This window comes from Homo sapiens, chromosome 15 (assembly GCF_000001405.40).
Source record: "Homo sapiens chromosome 15, GRCh38.p14 Primary Assembly".
Lineage (NCBI taxonomy): Eukaryota > Metazoa > Chordata > Mammalia > Primates > Hominidae > Homo > Homo sapiens.
This window is the reverse complement of record NC_000015.10, coordinates 100,805,255-100,833,023: the sequence shown is the minus strand read 5'-3', so window position 1 is coordinate 100,833,023 and position 27,769 is coordinate 100,805,255. Positions and strand designations below refer to the sequence as shown.

At 42.2% G+C, this 27,769-nt stretch overlaps 1 long non-coding RNA gene across 2 annotated transcripts in view; it reads right to left on the bottom strand.

Annotated features, from left to right (window-relative positions):
- Window positions 1–657: 657 nt before the first annotated feature.
- Window positions 658–27,769, bottom strand: part of LOC105371024 (uncharacterized) — a 116,308-nt gene continuing 89,196 nt past the window's right edge. For both annotated transcript variants that reach the window (XR_932726.3, XR_932729.3), the window contains exons 3-5: window positions 13,463–13,610; window positions 4,804–4,898; window positions 658–2,811 (exon numbers count right to left, since the gene is read on the bottom strand). This is a non-coding gene — a long non-coding RNA (uncharacterized LOC105371024). The remainder of the gene's footprint in view (window positions 2,812–4,803; window positions 4,899–13,462; window positions 13,611–27,769) is intronic.

The following is a 27,769-nucleotide window of genomic DNA, read 5'->3' as shown; positions in this document are numbered from 1 at the left end:
TAAATGGGGAGGAAACACTTGCAAATCACGTATGAGATTAAGGACTTATATCCAGAGTATATAAAGAACCCTCAAAACTCAACAGTAAGAAAACAAACAACTGAATTTTTTCAATGGGCAAAATATTCGAAGAGACACTTCACCAAAGAAGATATAAGCAAATGGGCACAACGAGAAGTCTTCAACACCATTAGCCTCTAGGAAAATGCAAATTAGAACAGCCATGAGAGTCCGTTTCCCACCTAGTAGAATGGCTAAAATGAAAACACTGACAATACCAAGTGGCGGCAAGAATGAGACAACTGGCACTTTCACACATGCTGGTGGGAATGCAAAGTGACGTGGCCACTCTGAAAAACAGTTTGTCAGTTTAAGTTTAATGACACGCTTACCATACGACTCAAGAATCCCACGCCTAGATACTTGCTCTACAGAAATGAAAGCATGTTTACACAGAACCTGTGCATGACTGTTTATAGAAAGAGTATTTATCATCACTAAAACTGAAACACTCTTATTGATGGGTGAATTGAGAAACACACTGTGGTATATGAAATACTACCTCACAATAAAAAGGAATAAACTATTGAGACAGATGACAACATGGAGAAACTTCAAAGGCATTACACTGAGTGAAAGAAAACTAATTGCAAAAGGTTACCTACTGCGTGAGTTTATAAAGCAAAACCATAGGGATGGAAAACAGACCAGCAGTTGTCAGGGGTTGGGGGTGGAGAAGAGTTTGGCTATGAAAGGCAGCTTGAGGCCAGAGTCTGGGGGATGGAAGTCTTCCATAACCTAATTGTGGAGGTGGTTACACAAATCTACATGTCTTAAAACTCATAGAACTGTACACTACATGGAAGTCCATTTCACTGTCTATAAATTTAAACATTAATAATAAAAGCAAATAAGCAAAAATGGTAGCTGGCATCGATCAAGTGCTTACCATGTGCTTGGCCTATTGTGGCATTCTGTCCAAGGGCATTCATTTCCACTTTGGTCCCTCTGACTCCAGCTTCCCACCACACCTCAGCTACCTGATTTTCAGCTAGACTGGCACCAAGCCAAAAGCCCAGAACAACTTCAAGTTACTTCTGGTGATGCCTTTTTCACTTGGCTTCTTCTTTAGTTTAATAAGTTGGTGCATGGGATTTGTCTTCTACTGCAAGACCTGGCTTTTGTGTTTGGACAGGAGCTACGGGCTGGCTGGGATCTGTGACTAGCAGCGAGGTGGGACTCAGGCTTGTGACAGGAGGCTGAGCAGATGGCGGCCATCCCCAGGAGTCAGTCCTCTGGGAGCACAGAAAGTACTAAAATCCGATTGTTGGCACACGTGTGAGCAGGATGGAAAAGGACCACCCTGGCTCACTAAAGGTTGTTCCTGGAACAGGATTGCCCCAGGGTGCCCTGGAACTAGTCATCCTGCAAGTCAGGGCTCAGTGAGTTGAGCATTGCTCTGACATAGAGAAAAATTAAAAGCATTCTGCATAAAGTCTGTCATTCTTCCTGTACACAGTGCAGGAGAGGGGCTCAAACTGACCAGAGGCAGACACCGATTTCAGAGCCTTTGTGTCATTCAGGAAAGGTTCTGGAGTTGATTTGTGCCTGCAGATGACTCTGTCCTGACTTGGATGAAGCCAGAGGAGGCATGCAGGGGCTGTCTGGATTCTCCAATCCTGAGGGCAGTTGGACGTCTGTGGAGCTCATTCCTTCTTGCCCTCTGCCCTGGGCATCGCTGTGATGGCCTGACCTCATTGGCTGTAAATTAAGGCCTCTCCATTTTCTGCAAACCTCCTGATCACTGCCCAGGTAGTGGGGCTCTGACAAGGTGTGTGGGAACTTTCCCAGGTTGGCTCCCCAGGAGAGGGGCTGGGTGGAAAGACCACTCTGCATGGACTGAATGGAGTGAGATCTGAGACAGGTGGGACATGTTTTCTGCATCGAGTGGAATTTCAAAGAGATTCCAGAAATAATCATGGCAATACAGATCCATGCTTGAAGAGTCTTGAGCTGTGGGGACTGTTTCTCAAACAAAGACTGTGAAGGCAGTACAATTAAGTAGATTGGGGACTCAGAGGGCCCTGCTTTAATTTATTTTTCTGGGGGAAAGCACAGGATGGATAGGATTACCAAGATCACAGGGAGCAGAAGATGATGTCACTGGGTGAACAGAGAGCCTTCTGGTGGGGGGTGGGCTCACCCAGTTCTCGGCCACCCCACAGCTTCCCACTAGAGGTGCGGGGAGCCGATGACTTGGCAGGCAAAAGAGCAGGACTGTGTCCTCAGAGAAGCCTCGCTGTGACTCGGGGCTAGAAACTGGGGCACAGTCTGTGTGCATGTTAGCACATAGACAGCAGACACTTCTGTTCCTGCCTCGGCTTCCTTCTCGTGGTGGCTCTGCAAGGCAGCTCACTTGTTCTGGGCCAATGTGCATCTCAGCTGGAGATCGGGGAGGGTGGGCATCTATCTACTCTTCTGCCTGTCCCTGTTAGGTTCGCAGAGGAGCAGCGTTCTGCCCGGCTGCAGGGCCCTGACCGCTGCTGTGGGTCCGAGCACCTGGCTTAGATTTGGACTGGTTTTGGGGGCATCAACATCAGGGAGCACTGAGGCCTCTCTGGACCTCTGTGAGCCCCTTACGGTTGATCTTGAGTGACAGCATGCAACCCCAAAGCTCTTGTAGCCTGAAGAGGAGAATGCATTCGGCAACGCTGTTGAGCTTTACTGATGAGATTTCTCAGGTTCCAGCCCACCCAGGAGGTAATTGGGAGGAGTGAGAGTTGGCGATGATTTCCACTGATTTTCAGATGCCTGTTGAGAAGATGATATGGTTTTTCTCCTTTAATACATTAATGTGATGAAGTGTGTGCATTGACTTTCCAATAGTAAATCACTCTTGTATTCCAGGATTAAAAAAAGATAATACTTAACATGTAATGTTAACATTTTATGACTTAATCAAAACATTGAAAACAAATGGAACTATCAAGCTTATCATGAAGACATTAATCTTTACCACTCTGATTCCAAGTCAGGCACAATTCCTTCACATTTTAAAATGTCTGAAAATGGGATGCAACAATAGATGATATTTCATTCATCAGTAAGAGTTTTCCCTCTTGTGTTGCATTGTACAACCAATGTCATACAGTGCTTATAGCTCCGATTTTGGTTAAGTCAATATTCTTTATTTTGACTTTAAAAATTCAAAGCTGAGCCATATAGTAGACAGGATTACATCTCCTGTTTTGTGCAATCTTTGTTCCTTGTGTTAAGAATCATTCTGTCATATTATTTGCTTAGTTTTTTATATGCCTAAGCTAATTCCATTTTAAACATTCCAAAAAATCCATTTAACTCCATTCGGTGCAAATGTATGAGGTAAGGTGCTGTTTTCTTTATTTTTTCATCTGGACCAGTGGCAGGCTGGTACATGTTTAACAACTGCCTCTCCAAAAGAAAACACATGCATTTATATGCATATAAGTTTACTATAAGTGTTACTGACATAAAGGACAGTTAGCACACTACTTACAATTAACAATAAAAACTTTATTGTAACTTCTATACGATGAACTGTTTCTCACAGAATGCTTTCATTGATTTTTGTCAAACTCATATAACCATAACGAATGAGTGTAGTTCTTTTTAAAATTTTTTATGTTATTTTTAATTTTTAGTGACAGGGTCTCCCTCTGTTGCCCAGGCTGGAGTGCAGTGATGTGATCTCATTGTCTGGAACTCCTGGGCTCAAGCAATCTTCCTGCCTCAGTTTACTGAGTAGGTGGGACTACAGGCATGCACCACCATGGCTGGCTAATTTTTAAATTTTTCCATAGAGATGGAGTCTCACTTGCTGCCCAGGCTGGTCTCCATCTCCTGGCCTCAAGAGATTGATCCTCCTGCCTCAGCCTTCCAAGTGTAGAGATTATAGGTGTGAGCCACCATGCCCGGCCTGGAGTGCAGTTCTTATGTGTTAGTTATTTAGTATTTTCACTTTTGTTAATGTATAAGACACAAGTGCAACAACAAGAATTTTTTTGAACTTCATTTTGTTCATCAATGATGTGAGTATAATTTCTTTGCTTCATTGCATATTAGTTTTTGAGTACTGAAAGACTATTTTCGTGTCTTTTATTCCTGCTATTCACAACGTAATGACTTCAGACTTGACTCATGTAAAGTCTAATCTGCATTAACAATGTCTTCATTATTTTCTTAAGTATAGACCATCAGAACAATAAATCAAGCCCTGATTTGAAGGTTTTGCTGGTTTCTGTGGTGTAAATACTTCCACCCAGGCCAATATGAAGCTACTAATGTGACATTGCTGAACACAGAGTTGGCAAGAGGTGCGTTGTACTCTACCATGAAAACACAATAAATGCACTCCTGAACTTAAAATAAAAGTTGAAAAAAAGAAAAAACAAAAAGAAACCACACGTGTTAAAATGCCAAAAAAAATACAATAAGTGTAAATTACAAGAACACAGATACCAGTAAAATGTAGTATAATGAGATATAGATGAATTTGGAATATTTATCATCTTTATTTCTAATATGATTAAGCCTTTTATAATTTACTTTTTAAATAATGACTGTGTTTAAAAACTGGCTTACAACATTCCCAAATATTTAACAATTGGCTCCAATGGGCTGACACCAGTACCACCACATGATAGAGCCCTCCCACCTAGAGTCCCTCCTCCTCCTGTACCCATCTTCACAGATCATTCTCTAGGCCTGCTGCACAGCTGTTGACCTCAGAGTTCTCTTGGTCGTGATTCTAAAAATCCCCTTTACCTTTTGCTGCATTGGATTCCATTTTCTAGAGCCCACATCTTCCTCTTTCTCGGCTTACTCCCTCATTTTTAAGGAGCACATCCTTTAGTAGATCCCTGAGAAAAGGGAAATGGAATTTTTCTTGTCAGATCATCTAGGCACATGTCGAATGAAATCCACTGGCCTGATGTGTTTACCACTTGGTTGAGATATGCTTCATTATCATAGTTAGAAACCATCACTCACTCTTTTCTCATTTTTTTAATCATTTGTTCAATATGCATTGTGAATCTACTATGCTTCATTATTATTATCCTGTTGATTATAACAATAAAAATTCTTTTGCTACTTAAAGTCTTTCATGTGGAACATTATGCTTTTCAAGTCTTTGGCTTTGATATTTTTACCTTACAAATTCCATCATCAAACAGCTGTCATTCAAAGCTTGTTCAGCTTCATGTTCTTTCCTGCCTGGTCTCAAATGCCACACTTCACTTGCCATTAGTGTGACAGCATCTTTAAAGACAACGCTAAAGTCTGATTTTGCATGTGGCTTGTGTGGTGACTTCTAAAATGCATTTAGGTGAGACAAAGCGTTATTTATTTACCCTGTATTCCTGATTTGTGCCCTAATTTCTTCAACCCAAACAACGAAGGCATGAGATACGATGACAGTAGAGGGACTTCTCGCTGTAAAATTATAGAATTCTGTTTCATGAATAATCTTTGGGTGACTTTATCCAGGGAAATCTGTAAAAATGAAGAATGGGGGAGGAGGAGAGTGAAGGAGAAAAGAAAGAAAAAGGAAATAGTAGAGGGCAGATGAAAAAATCAGCAGCAGCCACTTGCATGATTGGAATCTGAAATAAAAAGAGTCCCTCAAACTAGCATGTTCTTAAATGAGCTGAAGGAATTCTAATAGATTTTCAACAATTATAAAAAAAATCTACATTTCAGAAAATCCAGCCTGGGCCTATGATCTGTTTATTTACTGATCTGGGATCCTTGAGAGGCCTTTAAAAATGTCAGCCTGGGCCAGGCGCAGTGGCTCATACCTGTAATCCCAGAACTTTGGGAGGCCGAGGCAGGCGGATCACGAGGTCAGCAGATCAAGACCATCCTGGCTAACACGGTGAAACCCTGTCTCTACTAAAAATACAAAAAAAATTAGCCGGTAGTGATGGTGGGTGCCTGTAGTCTCAGCTACTCGGGAGGCTGAGGCAGGAGAATGGCGTGAACCCGGGAGGCGGAGATCACGTCACTGCACTCCAGCCTGGGCTACAGAGCGAGACTCCGTCTCAAAAAAAAAAAAAAAAAAAAAAAAGTCAGCCTGTTGGAGAGCATCCTTAGGGGATATTCCAGAAGTGTTCAGACTGCCTGGGAATTTTGTACCAGTCACCTGTGCTTCTAGGGGTTGGTACTACCCCTGAGAAAGAAGCCAGGTAGGAAGGACGAATTCCTTGAGGGCATTTGGCTCTGTGTCCCATGAGGCTGGCACTCTAGCGGGGGTGGTCCAAAGAGACCTGAAAATTGGCAGTTCCCCAAGCCCCGATCCCTTACTCCCCACCAATCCCTTCCTGTTGAACCAACTATCAGGGCATGCCTGTGTGCCATGGGGCAGCCCATGGCCTGTCTGATCCTTTTCTGACCCCTTAGCCCATGGGTGCTCAGGGGTCCTCTATCCAACCCAGCATGGTGTCACCTGCGTTGTGCTTTTTCCTGCTCTCTTTCTTGACCACTGGGCTCTCCTAATTCTGCATCCATCATCCCTGCTTCTTGTACTGTTTTAAAGCACCCTGGGTCTCAGACTAGCTCCCATGGACAAAAGCTGTGACTGGATCCGTCTGGGGCTTCACACTGGCTGGGCACGTGTTGAGGGTGGTTGCATTGCCCCTGGAGGAGAAGGCCCCACACTCATCCTCTCTCTTCTCTGTTGCTGTGACTGCACTCCCAAACAGTGAGGCTCAGCTGTGGGCTGGGCTCCGTTTCTACTGCCACTTCCGAAGTCAACGACAGGAACTAGAGGGTGTGGGCTGCCACAGGGGACTCGTGCCAGAGGGACATGGGGGTTGCCCAGGGTGGTCAGAAGTGGACAATGCCAGAAGGTGAGAGCAGAAGGCTCAAAGATGAGAAACCAAGTCGTCCTTGGGCCTGCATGCTGGGCACAAACAAGGCTGGCAGAGGAACAGGGAGGGGAGAAGAAGGTGGGAACACGTGCTGTGCACATGCTGAGATAGTTGCAGTAGCCATAGTCTCTCCCAAATCCCTGGGGGAGCCACCTGGCTTTGCAGCCCAGGGTTGGGGTGAACAGATTGGCCCCTGTCCTCCAAGAGTGCCTGTGATCAGGACACCAGGGCAAGGATTTTGGGGGTCCATTACCCCCGGCTAGGACCCGTTCCTGCTGTGAACCTTTCCCTCCTATAAACACACCTCCTCCACAGGAGAAAAGCCCACTCTTCCACTCCTGGGCTCCAGGGGCAGATCCTGGGCTGTATAATTAATGTGGCAGTTTTCCTCATTCTGTGGTGCTTACAGAGGCTTTGAGCCATGACATGAACCTCTGATTTTTATCTAACTGTTCACATGTGGATGTTTCAGCTCCTTCCTCACTTCCACCACAATGCAGCACCATGCCTCCTCCAGGGGCCTCTCAACAAGTGTTCTCCTTTAGGGCTGGCATGCATGTGCCCAACTTGCTCACTGAACAGACTACCTTGGCCTGCTCAGCTACTCACCCTTGACACCTTCATCAAGCACTGGTGCTCTGCTCAGCCCAGGGTCCCACAGCTCCTGTGTCCACACGTGAGTATGCACATGTCCGTTCTCCCAGCATGTGCTGCCTGTCTGCCCAGGAGGCGGCTGACAGGGCAATCCTCCCACCAGGGTTCTGGCCAGGACAAACGAGGGGCTTCCCCATGATCCGGGTCCCTGGCAGTTAACAGGCTCCTTGTCTTGCCTCGATGGCCCCAGGAGACAATCCCAAAAAGACCACAGTTAGAAATCAGGACGTTTCCCAGGGTTTAGCTGCCAGGTTTATCCATGGCCATCTGATTACATATTTTAAATCATTGCAACGGTAAATTATCCATTTTACCAGCCTGGTGCTGGAATTCACTTTTTTATTGATGGAAACTCTGCAGTTTTACATTAGTTATAAGGGGACTTCAAGGTTGCTTATGAGAGGTTTTGCCCATACAAAAAAGTTTAGGAGTTATTTATGTCCCAAAAATGAGGGACTGGGATGGGCTGGTTGTTTCCCAAAAATCAGTGATTTGGCTTGATTTGCTATTAATCAATTTTCCTCACTTCTTTTGAATTTGATCTTATCTAATGAGAAGTAAATAAGTGGACAAAGTTAGTGAGTCGAATCAAGAAGCAACTGGAAAATTCCCACCAAAATGAGGAGATTTTCTTTTTAAAGTCCTGCCACTTCTGCTTTCTTTCATATATAAGGGGAAAATTCTAGTTATGAAAGAGAAGCTGAAGGATGGCTGGAGATTATCACAGATTTTAATGGTGATTTTTTAAAAAAGGTTACTATCTTAATTTTATTCTGCACCAAATAAGGACATATTTTCTACTGTTGTCTGCCTGTCATAACCTTTTTTTTCTCTAATTGTTTGGATGGTGTGAGATCCTCTATAGTCTCATAGAACCTAAGCCAGAAGCAGGAACCTTCTGCATAACCACGAATCCTCAGGTGATTCCTTTTGAGAATTCTGGGGGATGGACAGAGGAAACGAAAGCAAATTTCCACAACCAAAGAGGTGAGTGGATGAGGAAGGTGAGTGGGAGGAAGGGATCCCAGAGCGCCTACTCCTGAACTCACGTCATCAGAAGAGATGTATCAGCCGGAAGGCTGTAGGCATTTCCTCAGTGGAAACAGGCAGGTTCCTGATAAATCAGCCTGGAGGTCAAGAAAACTGAGCTTTTTGAATAACAGGATTTAAATTCAGCAGATTTTTGGATGTCTGATATGAAACAATTGGGGAATTAACTTCTAAATTCAACAGCTAAAACAAAAAGATGAGGTGATTAAAGATTACCTACAGCAACAGTTTCCTCTGTGAGAAAATATAATTATGAGAGTCTCAGATGATCTTTCCTTTGTAAAACAAATACTTTATTACCTAGGTGTGAGTTTTCAGCTCTGGGAGGAAGGTACAGATGGAGAAAAACTGCAGGCACCTGCGTTTGTAATGATTTGGGGAGTTTGTTTTATCAACTGCTCACAGGATTGAAATAGCACCTCTGGGACTGATTTCCTTTTCTAATTTCTGACTTTGCAGTCTCCAGATATTGCAGGAAGAATGGCAAGACAGTTCTGGGGTACAGCTGTGCAGTTTAGGGGACAGAAGTCATAGGGTAAGGACACTGCTGTTGACCTTCCACCTTGCCCCCTCCCCTTCCTGGGACAGTGTGAAGCAGGCAGGCAGAGTGCAGACAGGCTATAACATAGAATACCACCCAAGTTTTCAGATTGGCCTCAAGGTAGCACACAAATGAAGCAGACTGGACCTGCATGCTAAGCCTGCTAAAAGGAAAATTTAAATAGGACCTGTCTCATAACACAATACTCAGGATTATTTTTAAAATGATTTGTTATATAAAGGAGCAGGAAAATTACAACTTGAAAGAACAATCAACAGATGCTAACACTGAGATGAATTCAGATTTCATCTGATGATTCAGATGAAATTTTCTGACAAAGATTTTAAAGCAACCATCATAAAAATGCTCCAATAAGGAATTAGGAACGCTCTTGAAATATGTTAAAATCTTAATTTAAAAAGATACAAAATAACTAAATAGACATCACAGATAAAATGATATAACTACATGGAACTAATAGAACCAAAAAATGTAATAACCAAAATTAAAAGCTTCCTGAATGTGCTTAATAGCAAAGAAGAGATAATAGAAGAAAGAACTTCTGAATTTGAAGGCAGATGAATAGAAATGATCCAGTTTGGACAACATATACAAAAAATGCACTGAAAAAAGAAGAACAGAGCCTCAGGGAACTGTGAAATAATAACAAAAGAAATCTAGTATGTGCATCATCAGAGTCCCAGTAAGGGAGGAGAAAGGGAGTAGGGTTGAAACATATTTGAAGAAATAATGCCTAAAATCCCCCCAAATTTGGCAAAAGTCATAAGCCTACAGATTCAAGAGCACAGTGAACCCCAAATAGGATAACTCAAGAAACCCATGCCCAGACATATCACAATCAAACTTCTGAAAACTAAGGACATAGGAAAATCACCTAGAAAGAAATAATGCATTACCTAAAAAGAAACAATAATTCTAGTAACAGTGGACTTATCATCAGAAATCCTGCAGTCCAGAAGGAAGTGGTACATGTTTCAAGTGCTGAAGGGAAAACAAACCATTAACTGTCAACTCAGGATTCTATATCCAGCAAAAATATCCTTCAGGAAGGAAGAGAGGATAAGAGCATTCTCAGATAAAGGAGAATTTGTTACCAGCAGACCTACCCCAGAAAAATGACTAAAGGAAGTTCTTCAAACAGAAAGAAAATAACAGAAAAAAAACTTAGAATGTGAGGAAGGAATAAATAACAATGAAATGGGTAAAATGGAGTTAAGTAAAATAGACTATCCCTTTACTCTTTAGTTTTTTGTTTGTTTGTTTTGTTTTGTTTGTTCTTTTTAAGACAGAGTCTCACTCTGTCACCCAGGCTGGAGTGCAGTGGCGCCATCTCGGCTCACTGCAAGCTCCACCTCCCAGGTTCACACCATTCTCCTGCCTCAGCCTCCCAAGTAGCTGGGACTACAGGCACCTGCCACCAGGCCTGGCTAATTTTTTTTGTATTTTTTAGTAGAAACAGGGTTTCACCGTGTTAGCCAGGATGGTCTCCATCTCCTGTCCTCGTGATCCACCCGCCTCGGCCTCCCAAAGTGCTGGGATTACAGGTGTGAGCCACCGCGACTGGCCTAGTTTTTTAAATAAAGTTTGATGGTTGAAGCAAAATGTTTGTAAAAACCCACATCATTTAATGTAGTGCTCAGTGTATGTAGAGGAAACATTTAAGGAAATTGTATTATAAAGGAGTGGGGGGATGGTTAAAGGCACCTAAATGGAGATAACATTTCTACATTTTATTTGAAGTGGTAAGATACTGACACCAGCAGACTGCAATAAGTTACATATGCATATTTTAATACCTAGAGAAACCACTAAAAAACTATAAAAGACATATACTTACAATATTTAAGATAAATAAAATAGCATTCTAGAAAATGTTTAAGTAACTCACAAGAAAACAAAACATTAAAAACAGAAACAAACAACACAGAGAACAAACAAAAAAATAACATGGCAGACAGAAGAATAAAATGGCTAACATACTAATAATTACATTAAATGTAAATGATCTAAATGTGCCAGATATTGGCAGAGTGGATTAAAGATCATGACCCAACTACTTTCTGTCTATGAAGAACTTACTTCAAATTTAATAATATACGTAGTTTGAAAGTAAAAGAAGAGGCAGTAAGATGCCCATGGCCTGGGTGGGCAGGGGACAAGCTGAAGTTGGATGTTAAGTTCACAAATCAGAGATGTCACCAAGTTCAGAATCAATGTCAGAGAAGCAATTCTGAGCTCCCACTGTGAAGTGAGTGTTTAACAAATATGATTAATGTGGTTACTGCTGCCCCCACAAATTCATGCTATTACCACATTTGACTGATGATAAAACTATCACTCTGAGTCTTAAACCAAAACTTGCCTGAAACCAAGCTAATGAGTAAGGGACCAGGGGCATCTGCCAAGCACATCCAAATTTTTTCTATATTTCAGACTTAAAGCAGAACTGGAAGGCTTTAAGGAAGGAGAAGGGACAAAGTAAGGGGGCTTGTAGGTTGGAACAGTGAGTTCCAGCAAGATTGTAGATTTCTAGGATGGCCTCATCCTAAAACTCTGAGCCTGAGCCCTGACCCCTAACTCTCACCCCACAGTGCTCACATTCAGGAGAAACCTTGAGTATTGATGATTTTAAGGGCTTTTTGTTTGAAAATTACATGTGGTAATGATATTGTGCATATGATTTTTAAAAAACAATTCTAATTTTTTGGAGATATATATATATATATATATATTTCAGTATTTGCAGACAAAATGGTATGATGTCTGGAATCTGCTTTGAAATAAGCCAATGTGTGTGTGAGTGTGTGTGTGTGGGTGGGGAGGACGTCAGGGTGTTATTGAAATAAAATTATAAATGATTTAATACTTGTTGAAGTTGGCAATTGGTACATGTGGGTCCATTTGGTCTCTCTGCTCTTGTGTATATTTGAAAATTTTTATAATAAAATTGTTTTTTTAAAAGCCACCAAAGATAACCTGGAAAGGAAAGAGAAGCCATGTGCCTGAGGAGAGAAGGGAGGCCAGGCCAGGTTCCCTGGGTTAGGTGGGGGGATGGTGGAAGGATGCTGTTGATGAGCTGACTAGGCGTGTGAATTTTGGGTGTGGCTGGACTTGAACCAGCAGTTTTCCCATTCTCTGGTGCAGCGTTTGTCCACTTAGCCCAGAATGCCTGAGGCTCAAGCACAGCTGTGCCTGCTAGAGGGAGGCCCAGTAAAAGGACATTCCCTTTGAGGAACTGGTGATCCAAAATGCGTACCCCAAACCAAGTGGACATCAATGGGACAAGTCTGTTCAATGCTAAACTGTATCCTTTCGTCCTTCATCACCCCCATCTTGCCCGAATCCACCTGGCACCTATATTCAAGCTTTTATCTTTTCCCATTCTGTTCCTGTTCTACCCTTTTCCCAAAGCCATGTCCACTCCCAGCGGCTTTAGTAAAAGCACTATGCTTCCATGTTCTTAAAATGATTTCTGAGATACCTACCCACTAAGAAATTCCTCCTAAATATTTAGATAAGGGGTGTTGAGTTCTACCACAATTCCTTCCTCACATACATATTCTTCCACCAAATACCTTGACCCATTTGCTTTTCATTACTGTAAAAATGTAAATTCCCAGTTTATTAATTGCCTATCTGTTTCTAATATTTCAGTCTGGCGCAGTGTGGTCTGTGCTGATGTGTCAGCTGCAGGAAGCAGGCATGGTACTGGTTTTCTTAGCTTACTCTGTGTAGTTACTCAAGAAAAGGCTCACCAACAGGCACCTCTCAGATGCTTCAGGAGAGGAGGGCTGTCTTTGTGAAAGGAATAGTAAGAATGGTGAGGTGTCGTTTGTGCTCTCCCCTGTCCCTGGCTGCCTCCACTTCCCTCAGGCATCTAGGACTGAGGCAGCCTTCTCACTAGGACCTCTAAAACCCAACTGCTGTATTTTCTGATGTCAAAACTTCTCAGTCCCATCTCCCCAGGATGCTCCTCCAGGTTAGAACAGCCAATCACTTGAACCGTGCTGGCTTAATGGGTTACTCAATTCTGACTAACATTTGCATTTTAATACTTTGGTCCAAAGGGTAAATATTATAGGCATCTGGAGCACCTTTGGAAGCTGGTGAAGGAGATATACCAGAGTGTGGGTGGTTTCTAGCACCTTCATATCAGTCCATGTCGGCTGCTGCTAGAAGCTGGCACTGTGTTCAAATTATAAATCACCCAATAAACCACGACAAAGGAAAACATTGGCAAGCCACCTCCAGCTGGGTGATGAAGGCTTTATGAAGAGAAGATTCTTACCTGTGCTTAAGGAATATGGGAGCGTCTTTCAGAAAACTGGAGGGAACGCCATCCCTGGACACAACTGGATTTGTCTGCCATGTGTTGGCATGCCTGGGGGCCTTTCACCTCGGGGTTCCATGATTTGGGACAGATTTCATGGTGGGCTCTGTTGAATAGGAAATATACTGTTGGAAATAAGACAGGACAGAAGCCTTCCAGCTCCATCATTCTGAGCTTTTCCTAGGTTCACACTGGGTTTTTTGAGCTCCCAAATGCTGTATCACAGTGAACTCATATGGAAAGGCAAACCTTCTTATCCTGAACTGTATGGGTCAAATACTTCCTTCAAGGCAGACTCAAATGCTGGGAGGATCCCTCCCTCCTCTCTTCCTCTCCAATTTCGGCCTCCTGACGTCAGTGAAGCTTTTACTGGCCTAGACACTTTGGCCTTGGGCCCAGAAAGCATCATTGTGGACAGCCCAGACCTGAGGCTGATGGCCCAGATAATTGGACAATCTGGGCCCAGATACCAGTTTCCAAAACCAAAGAGATTTCTGTGTTGCGTGACCTATCATTTAAGCCAGACAGAAAAGCTTTGACATTTCTTCTCCATTCCCTCTTTTTAAACAATGTAAAATGCTGTTCCACATCTAATTGTACTGGAGAAATGTGACAACTATAATTTTAGGCCTCAAATGCCCACAAACAGTTTTGTAAATCTTACAGACTCTATTCATCAATAAATTGTGTGTGTGATTAACCATTCTAAAATGGCTTTTTTCTTTTTTCCTCATTTAAAAAAATGTATAGCCCATTGACAATAGTTTTAAAATACCGAATTTATTTTAAAGATTTGAAACATATTTGGATAGATAAATATCTATATGTCTTAATATTTTAATTTACGTATAATTAACTTTTCTCATGAACAATTCTGTGAGTTTTTACATACGCATAGATTCTTGTAACCACCACCACATATAGGATTCAAAACAAGTCCAGTATCCCAAAGGATGTGTCCTTTGGGTTTTCCCTTTGAAGTCAATCCCTCCTTCCACACTTAACCCCTGACAATCACTTAATGTGTTCTCCATCACTAAGTTTTCCTTTTCCAGAATGTCATATAAATGGAATCATGTAACAGGTAACTTTAAGCATGACTTCTAACCACAATGCCTTTGCAATTCATCCAAGTCATTGTGTGTATCAAGAGTTTGTTCTGGCCGGACATGGTGGCTCACACCTATAATACCAGCACTTTGGGAGGCTGAGGCGGGTGGATCACGTGAGGTCAGAAGTTAGAGACCAGCTGGCCAAAATGGTGAAACCCAATCTCTATAAAAAGTACAAAAATCAGCTGGGTGTAATAGCACGTGCCTGTAATCCCAGCTACTCAGGAGGCTGAGGCAGGAGAACCTATTGAATCCAAGAGGCAGAGGTTGCAGTGAGCCAAGATCACACCACTGCACTCCAGCCTGGGCAATGAAAACAAGACTCTGTCTCAAAAAAAAAAAAAAAAAAAAAAAAAGAATTAGTTCCTTTTCATTGCTGAGTAGTTTTCTGTTGTATGGATATACAAGTTTGTTTGCCTATTTACCCACTGAGACATATTGGGATCATTTCCACTTTTCTGGCAATTATAAATAATGTTGGTATAAACATTCATGAACTAATTATTGTGTGAATGTAAGTTTTCATTTCTCTATAGTAAATACCTAAGAGTGTGATTGCTGGGTCATATTGTAAGTTTATGGTTAACTTTACAACAACTGCTCAACTATTTTCCAGAGTGATTGTATCATTTTGTATTCCCATCAACAAATGTATGCATGAGAGCTCCAGTTGCTCCTCATCCTCACCAACACTTGGTATTGAGTTCTTTTTTTAAAATTTTGCCATTTTAATAGGCATGTAATGGTGTGTCATTGTAGCTTTAATATGCACTTCCTTAATAGCTAATGGTACTGAGTATCTGTTCATGAGTTTATTTGCTATCCATATATCTTTTGGTGAAGTGTCTGTTAAAATGTTTTGCTCCTTAAAAGTTTTTTTTTTTTTTAATTGAGTAGAGTACATTCTGGATACAATCCTTTGTCTCAGCAGTCCCCAACATTTTTGGCACCAGGGACCAGTTTTGTCAAAGATAATTGTTTCCATGGACTGACAGAGGAGATGGTTTCAGGATGACACTGTTCCACCTCAGATCATCAGGCATTAGATTCTTATAAGGAGCATGCAACCTAGATCCCTTGCATGTGCAGTTCACAATGGGTTCCAAGCTCCCGTGAGAATCTAATGCCACCGCTGATCTGACAGGAGCAGAGCTCAGATGGTAATGCTTGCTGGCCTGCCACTCACCTCCTGCTGTGCAGCCCAGTTCCTAACAGGCTAGTTTTATGTTTTACATGTAGGTCTACGATGCTATTTGAGTAAATTTTTAAATATTCTGTGGGGTGTAGGTTAAGGCTTATTTATTTATTTTTTACATATGGTATTCAGTTGTTCTAGGACCATTTAGAGAAAAGTTTGTTATTTCTTCACCTAACTGCCTTTGCACCTTTGTCAAAATTCAGTTGGCCGTATTTTTGTGAACCTATTTTTTGAGTTTCTGTTCTGTTTCACGTATGCACATATCTATTCATTTGCCAATACTACACTGTATTGACTACTGGAGTTTTATCGTATGTTTTAAAATTAGGTAATATGAGTCCTTGAACTTTGTTCTTCTTTTTAAAGATTTTGGCTATTCTAGTTCCTTAACCCATCCATACACATTTTAGAATAAGTTGTCTATATGTACAAAGGATCTTGCTGATATTTTAACTGGGAATGTGCTAAATCTATAAATCAATTTTGGGATTTATTGACATCTTAAGTAAGCCTTCCAATCTCTGTGAACATGGTATGTCACTCTATTTAGACTTCTTCGATCTCTTTCACTGGTGTTCTGGATTTTTCAGCATGTAAAAGCTGCACATATTTTGACAAATTTACTTATACCTAAGTACTTCATTTTGAAGGCTATTGTAAATGCTTTTAAAATATCAGTTTCCAACTGCCCAGTGTTAGTATAAAGAAATGCAATTGATTTTGTTTATTGATATTATGTTCTGTGACAGGAAAATAAAATATTGGGACCCAAAACTCCCTATGTCAAAGAGAAAAATTAAGTTTGGAAGTGAGTTACCCAAATAAAAGCTGTCTTTTCTTTTTTTACTAAAAATATAACTACAGATAGAAGGTCAAATGTCTCCACAGGTGGCCTCTCTCATCCTGACGATGTAAATTAACAGGTTATTTTTACTAGTACAGGAAAATAGGAGACTAGAAATCATCCCCCAACCCACCCTAACATGAATACATATTTGATTTTTACCTCTACTCTGTGTTTATCTTATGTTAAGTGTAGGTTTCCCAAGTGCAAGATGAATACATAATTGGCTGTTCCCTTTACGCTCCTTCCTTTCCATGCACAACATGTGGATTCAGTGAGACTAATCAAAGCCTCACAAGAATGTGGCCATACACTCCCTCTGTTTTTTTCTTTCCCCTTTCCCCTGCTGCTCACATTTTCCCTTTTAAATATTGAAGCCCTCAAAAGCTTCTTTGGAAAAAGTTTGGGCCACAGATCCTACTGTGGCTTGCATCTCCTTTTCCCAGCAAAATAAACCTCTAAATTGATTGAGGCTCACCTCAGTCATTTTCTTTGGTCTCACAGTGGTATGACCTTGTTCAACACACTAGTTCTAGAAATTTTTTAAAGTGAATTTTCTATATAGACAATCATATCATCTCTTAATAAAGGTAGTAACATTTTTCTTTCAAATCTGGATGCCTATTATTTCTTTTTCTTGCCTTATTGCATTTGCGAGCATTTTAATATGCCATCAAATAGGAGTAGTGAAGGCAGATATCCTTGCCTAGTTCCCAGACTTAGAAAGTATTCAGTCTTTGACTGTTAAGAATGATGTTAGCTGTAGGTTGTCTAGTATATGCCTTTTATCAGATTGAGGAACTTCATTACTATTCTTAGTTTGCCTAGGTTTAAAAAAATTATGCATAAATGTTGAATTCTATCCAGCAGTGTTTTTTCTCCATCTATTGATATGATCATAGCATTTTGTTACTGTTAAGTCTGTGTAGTGGTTAATTTTATTTGTCCACTTGCAGGTTATTTTGGGATGAGTTTAACATTTAAATCAGTAAATTTTGGGTAAAGAAGATTGCCCTCAATAATGTGAGTGGGCCTCATCCAATCAGTTGAAAGTTTAAATAGAACAAAAAGATCAGCCTCCCTGAACAAGAGAAAATTCTCTGGCAGATGGCCATCAGACTTCATCCGCACCAGTGGCTCTTCTGAGTCTTGCCTGCTGGCCTTCAGACTGGAACTGCACCACTGGCTCTCCTGTATCTTGAGCCTGTTACAGAACTGAACTGGGGTCCACTCTCTCAGCACAGTAAGGGCAAACACCCACACTGAGATTTGCAGCAGGAGAAAGAAGAACATTTATTTATAGGACACCAGGCAAGGAGAATTGGGCAGCTCACGCTTAAGACACAACCTATCCAGTGGCTTGCAAGCAAGAATTTTTAAAGGTGGGGATAAATTTCAGGAAAGCAGAAGTTACAGGCAAAATTGTAAAGCAATATATGGAGGTTATACAATGGTTTGGCCTACAAAGTGGGGATATCTTGAAGTGAGGGCTTCTAGGTAATAGCTTCAAAATTTTTCTGATTTGCAATTGGTTAAGGAAGAGAAGCTTTGTTTAAAAATTTGAGGGGAGTAGAAAGATATGCTAAGTCTGACTTGTGTGACTTCCTCCCAGCACTTCAGGAAGAACTTCAGAACAAAGAACAGTGGTCAGAGTTTAGTCCTCCATTCCCCCTTATCTGAGAGGTCTATGTGCCAGTGGATTCATTTAGTGGAGGTCCAGATTTCCAAAAAAGCACTTAGGGACATACGTTAAGATGTTATCTGTAGTCAAATATCCTATGACTCTAACTTCCTTGACTATTGTTTTAAGCTACTATTACCTGCTTGTTTATCAAGTTACTCATTTACTTCTCAGGGCTGGGTTGGTGCCTGAAATTTCCCTTGAAGGAACTCAAGATTTCCTTTAATTTCTATGCCTGCAGGCCCCTAAGATGGACCTCTGCTCTATCTCAAGCCTGCCAGCCCACACTGCAGATTTTGGACTTGCCAGTCTCTATAATCTCATGAGCCAATTCTTTATAATAAATCTCTTTACACATGTATGCATGTGTAAAGAGAGCACTGTTAGGTCATGGAGTGATCTGGTAACAGAGATAGGCAAAATATCATCCTTCAATACTCCTAACCAAACACTTATAAGAAGCAAGGATCTGAGTGTGTATATAATACTTTCCAACATTTTTGTCACACTAGAAGTGTAATGACATTGGCTGGTTGGAGCTAATGTTGCTAGACAAAGAAGTGGGGAAATAAAAAGTTAAGCTCAGGGATATTAGTTTCCAGCACAAATGCTGAATTAATGACCTAAGAGCTTCTATGTCTGCCCTGAAAGAGACCATTATCTCCTGTAGCCTCAGAGCTGAGATTGCTGAAAACCAAACCCAGAATCTCATCCTGCAAGAGGCTGACTTACAATGTAAATTGAATTCCAAGCCTTGCAGAGTGTCCACTGCTAAATGAGGCATCGATTGGAAAGGAACTAGATCCTAAATTTGAAATGGGATGTGTAGAAAGTTGAAATGGGACCCTGATGAAGCTGAGGACATTGAGACCCTAAATTTTGATCAGACTTCTTTGTCAGTAGAAGGAGTCTTTCTGTCCCCAGTATGAGAAGCCTCTCCACCCCAGTGAGAGGAAATTAACCCTGTCTTGTTTAAGGAAGTTGCAATGGCTGCCTCGAGGCAGTTGCCCTGCAAGACAAGGCAGATTGTCCTCAGGGTCCACCCCCAAGACACTTCTTTGTTTCTAAACCTGTAACTAGACTTAAGCCCCAATAGGATCCTAAAGGTAGGGTATGGAGTATGACTCATGAGATGTGCTACACTTTAAAGGAGCTACTTGAGTTTTCTAATTTACACAAACAGGAATCTGGGGCATATGTATGGAAACAGACATTAAGGTTGTGGGATAATGCTTGAAGGAACATAAAGTTGGATGAGGACAAATTTATTGATATGGGCCCACTAAGAAGAGATTCTGCATTTAATATTTCAGCTCAGGGAGTTAGAAAGGGCTTTAAAGTTTGGTTGGTTGGTTGGCTAAAATGAGGACTAAAAGGTGGCCCAGAGTGAGTGAGCTAGAAATACCAGAACTGTCTTGCTATACTCAAAGGCTTAGAGAGATTGGAACGTTAGAATAAATTTGTCATGTAAGGCCTGCTCACAGACCCTGAAACGGTCCAAAACATATACCTTTCACCATGACTGTGAGAAGTAAATTTATGAGGAGAGCCCAAGTGTCTTTGAAGAGCTCTGTGATCACTCTTCTTTGTAGGCCAGACCTTACAGTGGGAACTGTGGTCACTGATTGGGAAACCTACATCAAATGGAGTAACTGGATCTCAGGGTGGCAGGGGACAAGGTATATATTCAGCTGCCACAGGCAAGGAGGATGTGGTTATCATGATGAACAGCAAAGTCACAGCAGCAATCAGAATAGTCTATTTCACTTCTAGGAACACCATGGTCAGCTGCTAACCAATACCATAAGTAGATTTATGTTGTAAGTAGACTTATGTGTTGGTTAACAGTTGACCATGGCGTTCCCAGAAGTGAAATAGACAAGGAGCAAAATAAATTCTTACTTCATCTGTATAAGCATAAAAGTTCTAGGTCAAGTAACCAAAAGTCTAAGCTGAATCACAAAAACAGAGAATCTTGGCCCCTCAATCAATTCCCAGACTTGAGCCAGTTTATCGACCCTTGAACTCCTTGAGCCAATTCCCCCAAATTTATACTATTAATCTTTCTCCCAACTTTCCAAAAGAGACCTATGGCCTTTTACCAGGGTAACTGTGCATTGGGAAAAAGAAAATAATCAGACCTCTAGGGGACTACTGGACACTGGTGCTGAGCTGATATCACCAATGCCAGGAGACCCAAAACATCATTGAGGCCCACCAGTCAAAGTAGGGACTTATGGAAGTCAGGTGATCAATGGAGTTTCAGCTCAGCTGAGTTTCACAGTGGATTCAGCGAGCCTCAGAACCCATCTTGGGCTATTTCTCCAGTTCCAGAATGCATAATTGGAGTAGACATACTCGGTCACAGGCAGAATCCTTACATTGCTCACCTGACCTATGATATGAGGGCTAATATGGTGGAAAAGGCCAATTGGAAGCCATTAGAGCTTCCTCCACATAGAAAAATAGTTAATCAAAAACAATACTGTGTCTATATCCCTGGAAGGATTGCACAGATTGGTGCCACCGTCAAGGACCTGGAAGATGCAGAGATGGTGATTCCCACCATATCCCCATTCAACTTGCCTATTTGGCCTGCACAGAAGACAGATGGATCTTGGAGAATAATGGTGGATTATTATAAGCTTCATCAGGGGGTGAGTCTAATTTTAGCTGCTATATAAGATGGAGTTTCACAGCTTGAGCAAATGAACACAACCCCTGGTACCTTGTACCAGCTATTTATCTGGCAAATGCTTTCCACCAGAAGCAGTTTGCTTTCAGCTAGCAAAGCCAGCAATACATCTTCACTGTCCTACCTCAGGGCTATATCAACTCTCAAGTCCTGTGTTATAATTTAGTTCACAGGATCTTGACTGTGTTTCCCTTCCACAAGGTATCATACTGGTGCATTACCTTGATGACATTACACCGACTGGACCTAGTGAGCAAGAAGTGTAACTACTCTAGATTTATTGAAAAGACATTTACATGCCAGGAGGTAAGAAATAAATCCAATAAAAATTCAGGGGCCGGCCAGGTGCGGTGGCTTACGCCTGTAATCCCAGCACTTTGGGAGGCTGAGGCAGGCAGATCATGAGGTCAGGAGATCAAGACCATCCTGGCTAACATGGTGAAACCCCGTCTCTACTAAAAATACAAAACATTAGCTGTGCGTGGTGGCGGGCACCTGTAGTCCCAGTTACTCAGGAGGCTGAGGCAGGAGAATGGCTTGAACCCGGGAGGCGGAGCTTGCAGTGAGCCAAGATTAGGCCACTGTACTCCAGCCTGGGCGACAGAGTGAGACTCCATCTCAAAAAAAAAAAAAAAAAATTCGGGGGCCTTCTACCTCAGTGACATTTCTAGGGATCTGGTAGAGTGGGGCATTCCAATATATTAGTTCTAAAATGAAGGATAAGTTGTTGAATCTGGCCTCTCCTGCAACAATATCAACAAAAAGGCACAATGCCTAGTGCGCCTCTCTGGATTTTGGAGGCAATATATTCCTCATCTGGGTTTGCTAATCTGATCCATTCACTGAGTGACTGAATAACTCCAAAAGCTGCTTGTTTTGAGTGGGGCCCAGAATAAGAGAATGCTCTGCAACAGGTTCAGGCTGTTGTGCAAGCCGCTCTGTCACTTAGACCATATGACCCAGCAGATCCAGTGGTTCTTGAAGTATCAGTGGCAGATGGAGATGCTGTTTGGAGCATTTGGCAGGCCCCTGGAGATGAATCACAGGAATAGATGGTTAGGATTTTGGGGCAAAGCCTTGCTATCCTCTGCAAATAACTACTCCTTTGAGAAACAGCTCTTGGCCTGCTACTGGGCCTCAGTAATGACTGAATGCCTAATTATGGACCATCAAATTCCCATACAATTTGAGCTGCCCATCATGAACTAGGTGGCGTATGACCCCTAACCCATAAAGTTGGGCATACACAGCAGGACTTCATCATCAAATGAGGGTGCTATATACAAGATTGGGTTCATGTGGGCCCAGAAGGCACAAATAAGCTACACGAAGAAGTGGCCCAAATGCCCATGGTCCCCACTCCTGCCATACTGCCTTCTGTCTCCCAGTCTGCACCTATGACCTCATGGGGAGTTCCCTATGATCAATTGACAGAGGAAGAGAAAGCACTGGCCTTGTTTATGTGATATGCAGGCACCACCTAAATGTGAGCACCTGCAGCACTACAGCCCCTTTCTGGGACATCCCTAAAGGACAGTGGTGAATGGAAATCCTCCCAGTCAGCAGAAATTTGAACAATACACCTGGTTATGCACTTTGCTTGAAAGGGGAAAAGGCTAGACATGTAACTATATACTGAGTCATGGGCTGTGGCCAGTAGTTCGGCTGGATAGTCAAGGACACGTAAGAAACATGATTGGAAAATTGGTCACAAGGAAGAGGTATGTGGATAGACCTCTCTGCATGGGCAAAAAAAAGATGAAGATATTTGTATCCTATGTCAATGCCACCAAAGGGTGACCTCAGTAGAGGTGGACTTTAATAATTAAATGGATAGGATGACCTGCTCTGTGGATATCAATTAGCCTCTTTCCCCAGGGACTTCTGTTATTTCCCAGTGAACTCATAAAAAAAGTAGCCATGGTGGAGGTTATGCCTGGCCTCAGTAACATGAACTTCTACTCATCAAAGATGACCTGACTACAGACACCACTGAGCACCCAATCTGCTAACAGCAGAGACCAGCTCTGAATCTCCACCATGGCATCATTCCCTGCGGTGTTCAGTCAGCTACCAGGTGGCAGGTTGATTATACCGGACTGTTTCTCTCATGGGAGAAGCAGCATTTTATTCTTACCAGAATATATATTCTAGATACAGATTTGCCTATCATGCACGCAATGTTTCTGCCAAGACTACTACTCAGATTTATGGAATGCCTTATCCATTGTCATGGTATTCCACACAGCATTGTGTCTGGTCAAGGAATTCACTTTGCAGCAAATAAAGTGTGATAATAGACCTATGCCCCTGGACATCATTGGTCTTTCCATGTTCCACACCATCCTGAAGCACCTGGCTTGATAGAATAGTGGAATTGGCATTGGAAAACTCAGCAACAGTTTCATCTACGTGACAATACCTTCCAGGTCTGGGGAAAGTTATTTACAAGGCTGTATATGCTCTGAAGTATCCAATATATGGTGCTGTTTCTCCCATAGCCAGGATGAACTTCTACTCATCAAAGATCCAGGAATCAAAGGTCCAGGAATCAAGGGGTGAAAATAGGAGTGACACCATTCACTACCATCCCTAGTGACTCACTAGCAAAATGTTTGCTTCCTGTTCCACAACTTCATATCCCCCTGGCCTAGAGGTCTTAGTACCAAAGGAAAAAATGCTTCTGCCAAGAGACACAACACTGATTCCACTGAATTGGAAGTTAGGACTGCCAACTGAGCATTTTGGACTCCTCATGCCTCTGGATCAAGAGGAAAAAGAGTTACTGTGCTGGCTGGGGTGATTGATTCTGACTACCAAGGGAAACTGGATACTGCTCCACAATGATGGTAAAGAAGAATGTGTCTGGAGCACAGGAGATCCCCTAGGGCATCTCAGTATTACCAAGCCTTGAGATCAAAGTCAATAAAAACTAGAACAACTCAATCCAGGCAGGGCTACTAACAGTCCAGACACCTCAGGAATGAAGGTTTGGGTACCACACTCGATAAAGAACTCCTACTTGCTGAAGTACCTGCTGAAGGCAAAGGGAACATGAAGTGGGTAGTGGAAGGTAGTTTTAATTGCCAGCTATGATCACGTGACCAGTTATAGAAATGAGAACTATAATTGTGATGACTGTTTCTTCCATATTTTTGATGAACATGTTTGTGTGTGTATATATGCATGTATGTACCAAATATCTTTGTTTTCTTCCCTCTCTAATCTCATTATTATATACCATAAGATGTACTGATGTCAGATCACAGTATTTAAGTTTGTTAATGTTACAAGATCCGTGGGGTGCTGCTTTTCTGGCTGGAAATCTCTGTGGCTGGTGGCACCTTTTTGGCTGAGTTTTGTTCAGGCCCACTGGGCTCATTCAGCCCACTCAGCCTGGCAGGCTGTGCTTGGCTCACACTACCAGCCTGGATCCCATACCTGCCAAGGGTGAGCCAGGTGTCAAGTGGTGAGGGGTGTATGAGCAAATAAGCATGGGATCCAGTCACTGCACACAATCAGTCATGCTGGCCACTGCAGCAGGGCAGGCAGCTCCAGGGGTCAGCACAGGCCCTTGCTCTCTGTGAGGCTGCAGTTGGACCAGGTGCACTGCAAGCAGCTTACATGGCTGCCACCGGGGAATGTGGTGGCACCTGGTAGCTTGGAGACTCCAGGAGCTGCTAGGCCACAGAGAGGGAGTCACAGCCCTGGCCTGGGGAGCTTCTAAGTCTGGGCTCCCTGAAGGGCCACAGTTCTTCTCTCCTTCTCTTCACCCACAATGTGGCAAGCAATGGGTGTGTTTCAGCCCTGTTTGTGTCACAGCTTTTTCAGTCCTGCCATGTGGCAGGTCCTGAGTTCTTGCCCTGTGTCCAGGAAGAATGAGGTATGCAGACAAGTGGAGGGTGAGCAAGGTGAAGAAGAGCTTTACTGAGTGACAAAATAGCTCAGAGGAGGCCCTGCAGTGGGTAGCTCCTCTCTGCAGCCAGTTGTCCTGATGTCTGCTCAGCTGTGGCTGAGCCCAGGGCATTTATGGGCCTCAGAGGGGAGGAAGTGCACACCAATTGGTCCACAGGCAGCCATGGGCTGGCCTGGAAAACACACCACAAGTTTCCATTCTGGTCTGTGGGACTCGAAGCCCAGCCTGCAGCCTTCAGGCCCTCCCTGGGCAGAAGGTGAGTCCTTACTGGGCACCTACCCCCTTCCACTCAGGAACCTGTGTGTCTCCTGCTACATTCATGGTGCCCGTGCTGTAGGTGCCAATGGGCACCTGCAGGCCAGCATCAAGCTGCCCTCAGTGCCCCCTTGGCTTCCCTCCTATGCTCAACAGTGCCCAAAGTCTGGAGGGGGCCTAGGCAGCAGGTGGCTGGTGTGTCAGCACTGCCCTGAGTGTGTGCACACCTGGCTGGGCTGTGATAGTGTCCGGGCTTGGCCCTGACTTTTCTCTGAGATCAGTGCAGGCACTGGCAACAGGGAGAAGCCAGGCAGCAGGATAAGGTACTTCCAAGCCTGCAAGGGCAGGGGGAGACTTCTGGAGTCCCCAAGAGTGCAGGGATGCCTGGGTCCACAACTGTGGTTTGGGTTGCTGCAGCTCTGCCTGGTGGGGTGGGGATTCTGCCTGCTCCATGAAGCAGGAGGCCCTGGTCAGCAGCCATGACTTGGGTGGCTGCGGCTGCACCTGGGGAGCTCCCTTTCCATCAACTCAGAAGGGGCAGGGTTCCCATTTGTCCCTGGCTCCTGCCAGCTCCACGGAGTGTGCAGCCCTGGCCACGCCTCCCTGTTGCAGCCAGAGTGATGGCAGCAGCTGCTCCAGATGGGCCTCTGCTGCCATCATTAACTTTATATCATAGCATTTAAATTACTGGATATCAGGGAAAGGAGTAAACATCCAATGACTTTGCTTTCTTTTCTGGGGAAGAAGTTAGTGCATTTTCAGTTGTGTGCAAGACAATTGTATCCTAAGAAGATGCATTCAGATGCCAGGTTGACAAGAAGTAAACTTGTGACGGTTCATTTTATGTGTCAACTTTGAGGATGTTTTTGGATGAGATTATTTAAAACAATTTACTGTTGGTAAAGAAGACTGCCCTCCATAACATGGGTGGGTCTCATTGAATTAGTTGAAGGCCTGCATGAAAAAAAAAAAAGACTGGTCTCCCCAGCAAGGTAAAATTTTTCAGCAGTCTGCCTTTAAATCTCATCTGCCCCATTGGCTCTTCTAGGTCTCAAGCCTACTGGCCCACACTACAGATTTGAATTTCCCAGCCTCCATTCCATAATTTATGTAAATCAGTTCCCCATAGGAAATCTCTTTCTCTCTCTTTCTCTCTCTCTCTCCCCCTCTCCTCTCCCCGTCCCTCTCCTTCCTCTCCCTTTTCCTCTCCCTCTGTCCATTTCTGTTGGTTCTGCTTCTCTGGATAACTCACTAATGCAGCCTATTAATGTGGTGAATCACATTCATTACCTTCAAATATTGAGTCATTCTTATTTAGGATAAATTCCACTTCATTATGATGGATTTTTAAAAAATATTGCTGTATCCAATTTGCTAATATTTTATTGAGGACTTTTGGGTCTATAGTCATAGGAGTATTGGTCTGTGGTTTTCTTTTCTTGTGCTTGTCTTAGTTCAGTTTTGGTATGACAGTAACATTGGCCTACTAAAGAAGTTAAGAAGTGTTCTCTCCTTTTCTATTTTCTGGATGGGTTTGTTAAGTATCACTGTTATTTTTCATTTGAATGTGTGGCCAAATTCACAATGAAACCATCTGGCTTGGAGTTTGCCTTTTTGGTTTTGTTTTTAATGGCGAGTTCAAATTTTAAAAAATATATAAGACTATTTACACAGTTTATTTCTTCTTGATTTAATTTTGGTAGTTTGTGGCTTTTAAGAAATTGGCTCATCATCTAAATTATTAAATTTATGAGCATAGAGTTGTTCATAGTATCCCTTTATTATCCTTCTGATGTATTTAAAAGGTGTCAGATACTATGAACAACAATCAGGAATACCTTCTTTTTCCCCCTGATGTCGGCAATTTGTTTCTTTCATCTTTTTTTCTTGGTCAGTCTGGCTATAGGTTTATCAATTTTATTGACTTTTTTAAAGAATCAAATTTGGTTTTATTGATTTTATCTGTTGTTTTTACCTCTTAAATGTCGTTGATTCCTGCTCTCATCTTTATTATTTCTGCCCTCCTAGCTTTAGGTTTATTTTACTCTTTTTTCTAGCTAATTGAAGTGGAAGCTTAAATTATTGATTTGAGACCTTTCTTCTTTTATAATATATATTTCATATACCATAACTTTTCCTCTAAACACTGCTTTAGCTCCATCCCACAAATTTTTATATGTTATATTTTCATTTTATTTACTTCAAAAGATTTTTTAATTTCCCTTGAGACTTCTTTGTTGGCCTATGGATTATTTAGAAATACATTATTTAATTTTCAAATATTTGAAGATTTTCCAGACATTATTCTAATATTGATTTCTAGTTTAATTCCTTTATGGCCATAAACCATACTTGAATAATTTAAAAAAAATTAAATTTAACTTAAAAAAATTAGAATATGATCTTATTTTGTAAATGTTCTATATGTACTTGAAAAGAATGTGTATTCTGCTTTTGTTGGGTGAAGTATCTACACATATCAATTAGGTTGAGCTGGTTGATGGTGTTCTTCATGTCTTTTATATACTTGCTGATTTTCCATCTATTTGTTTGATTACTGAGAG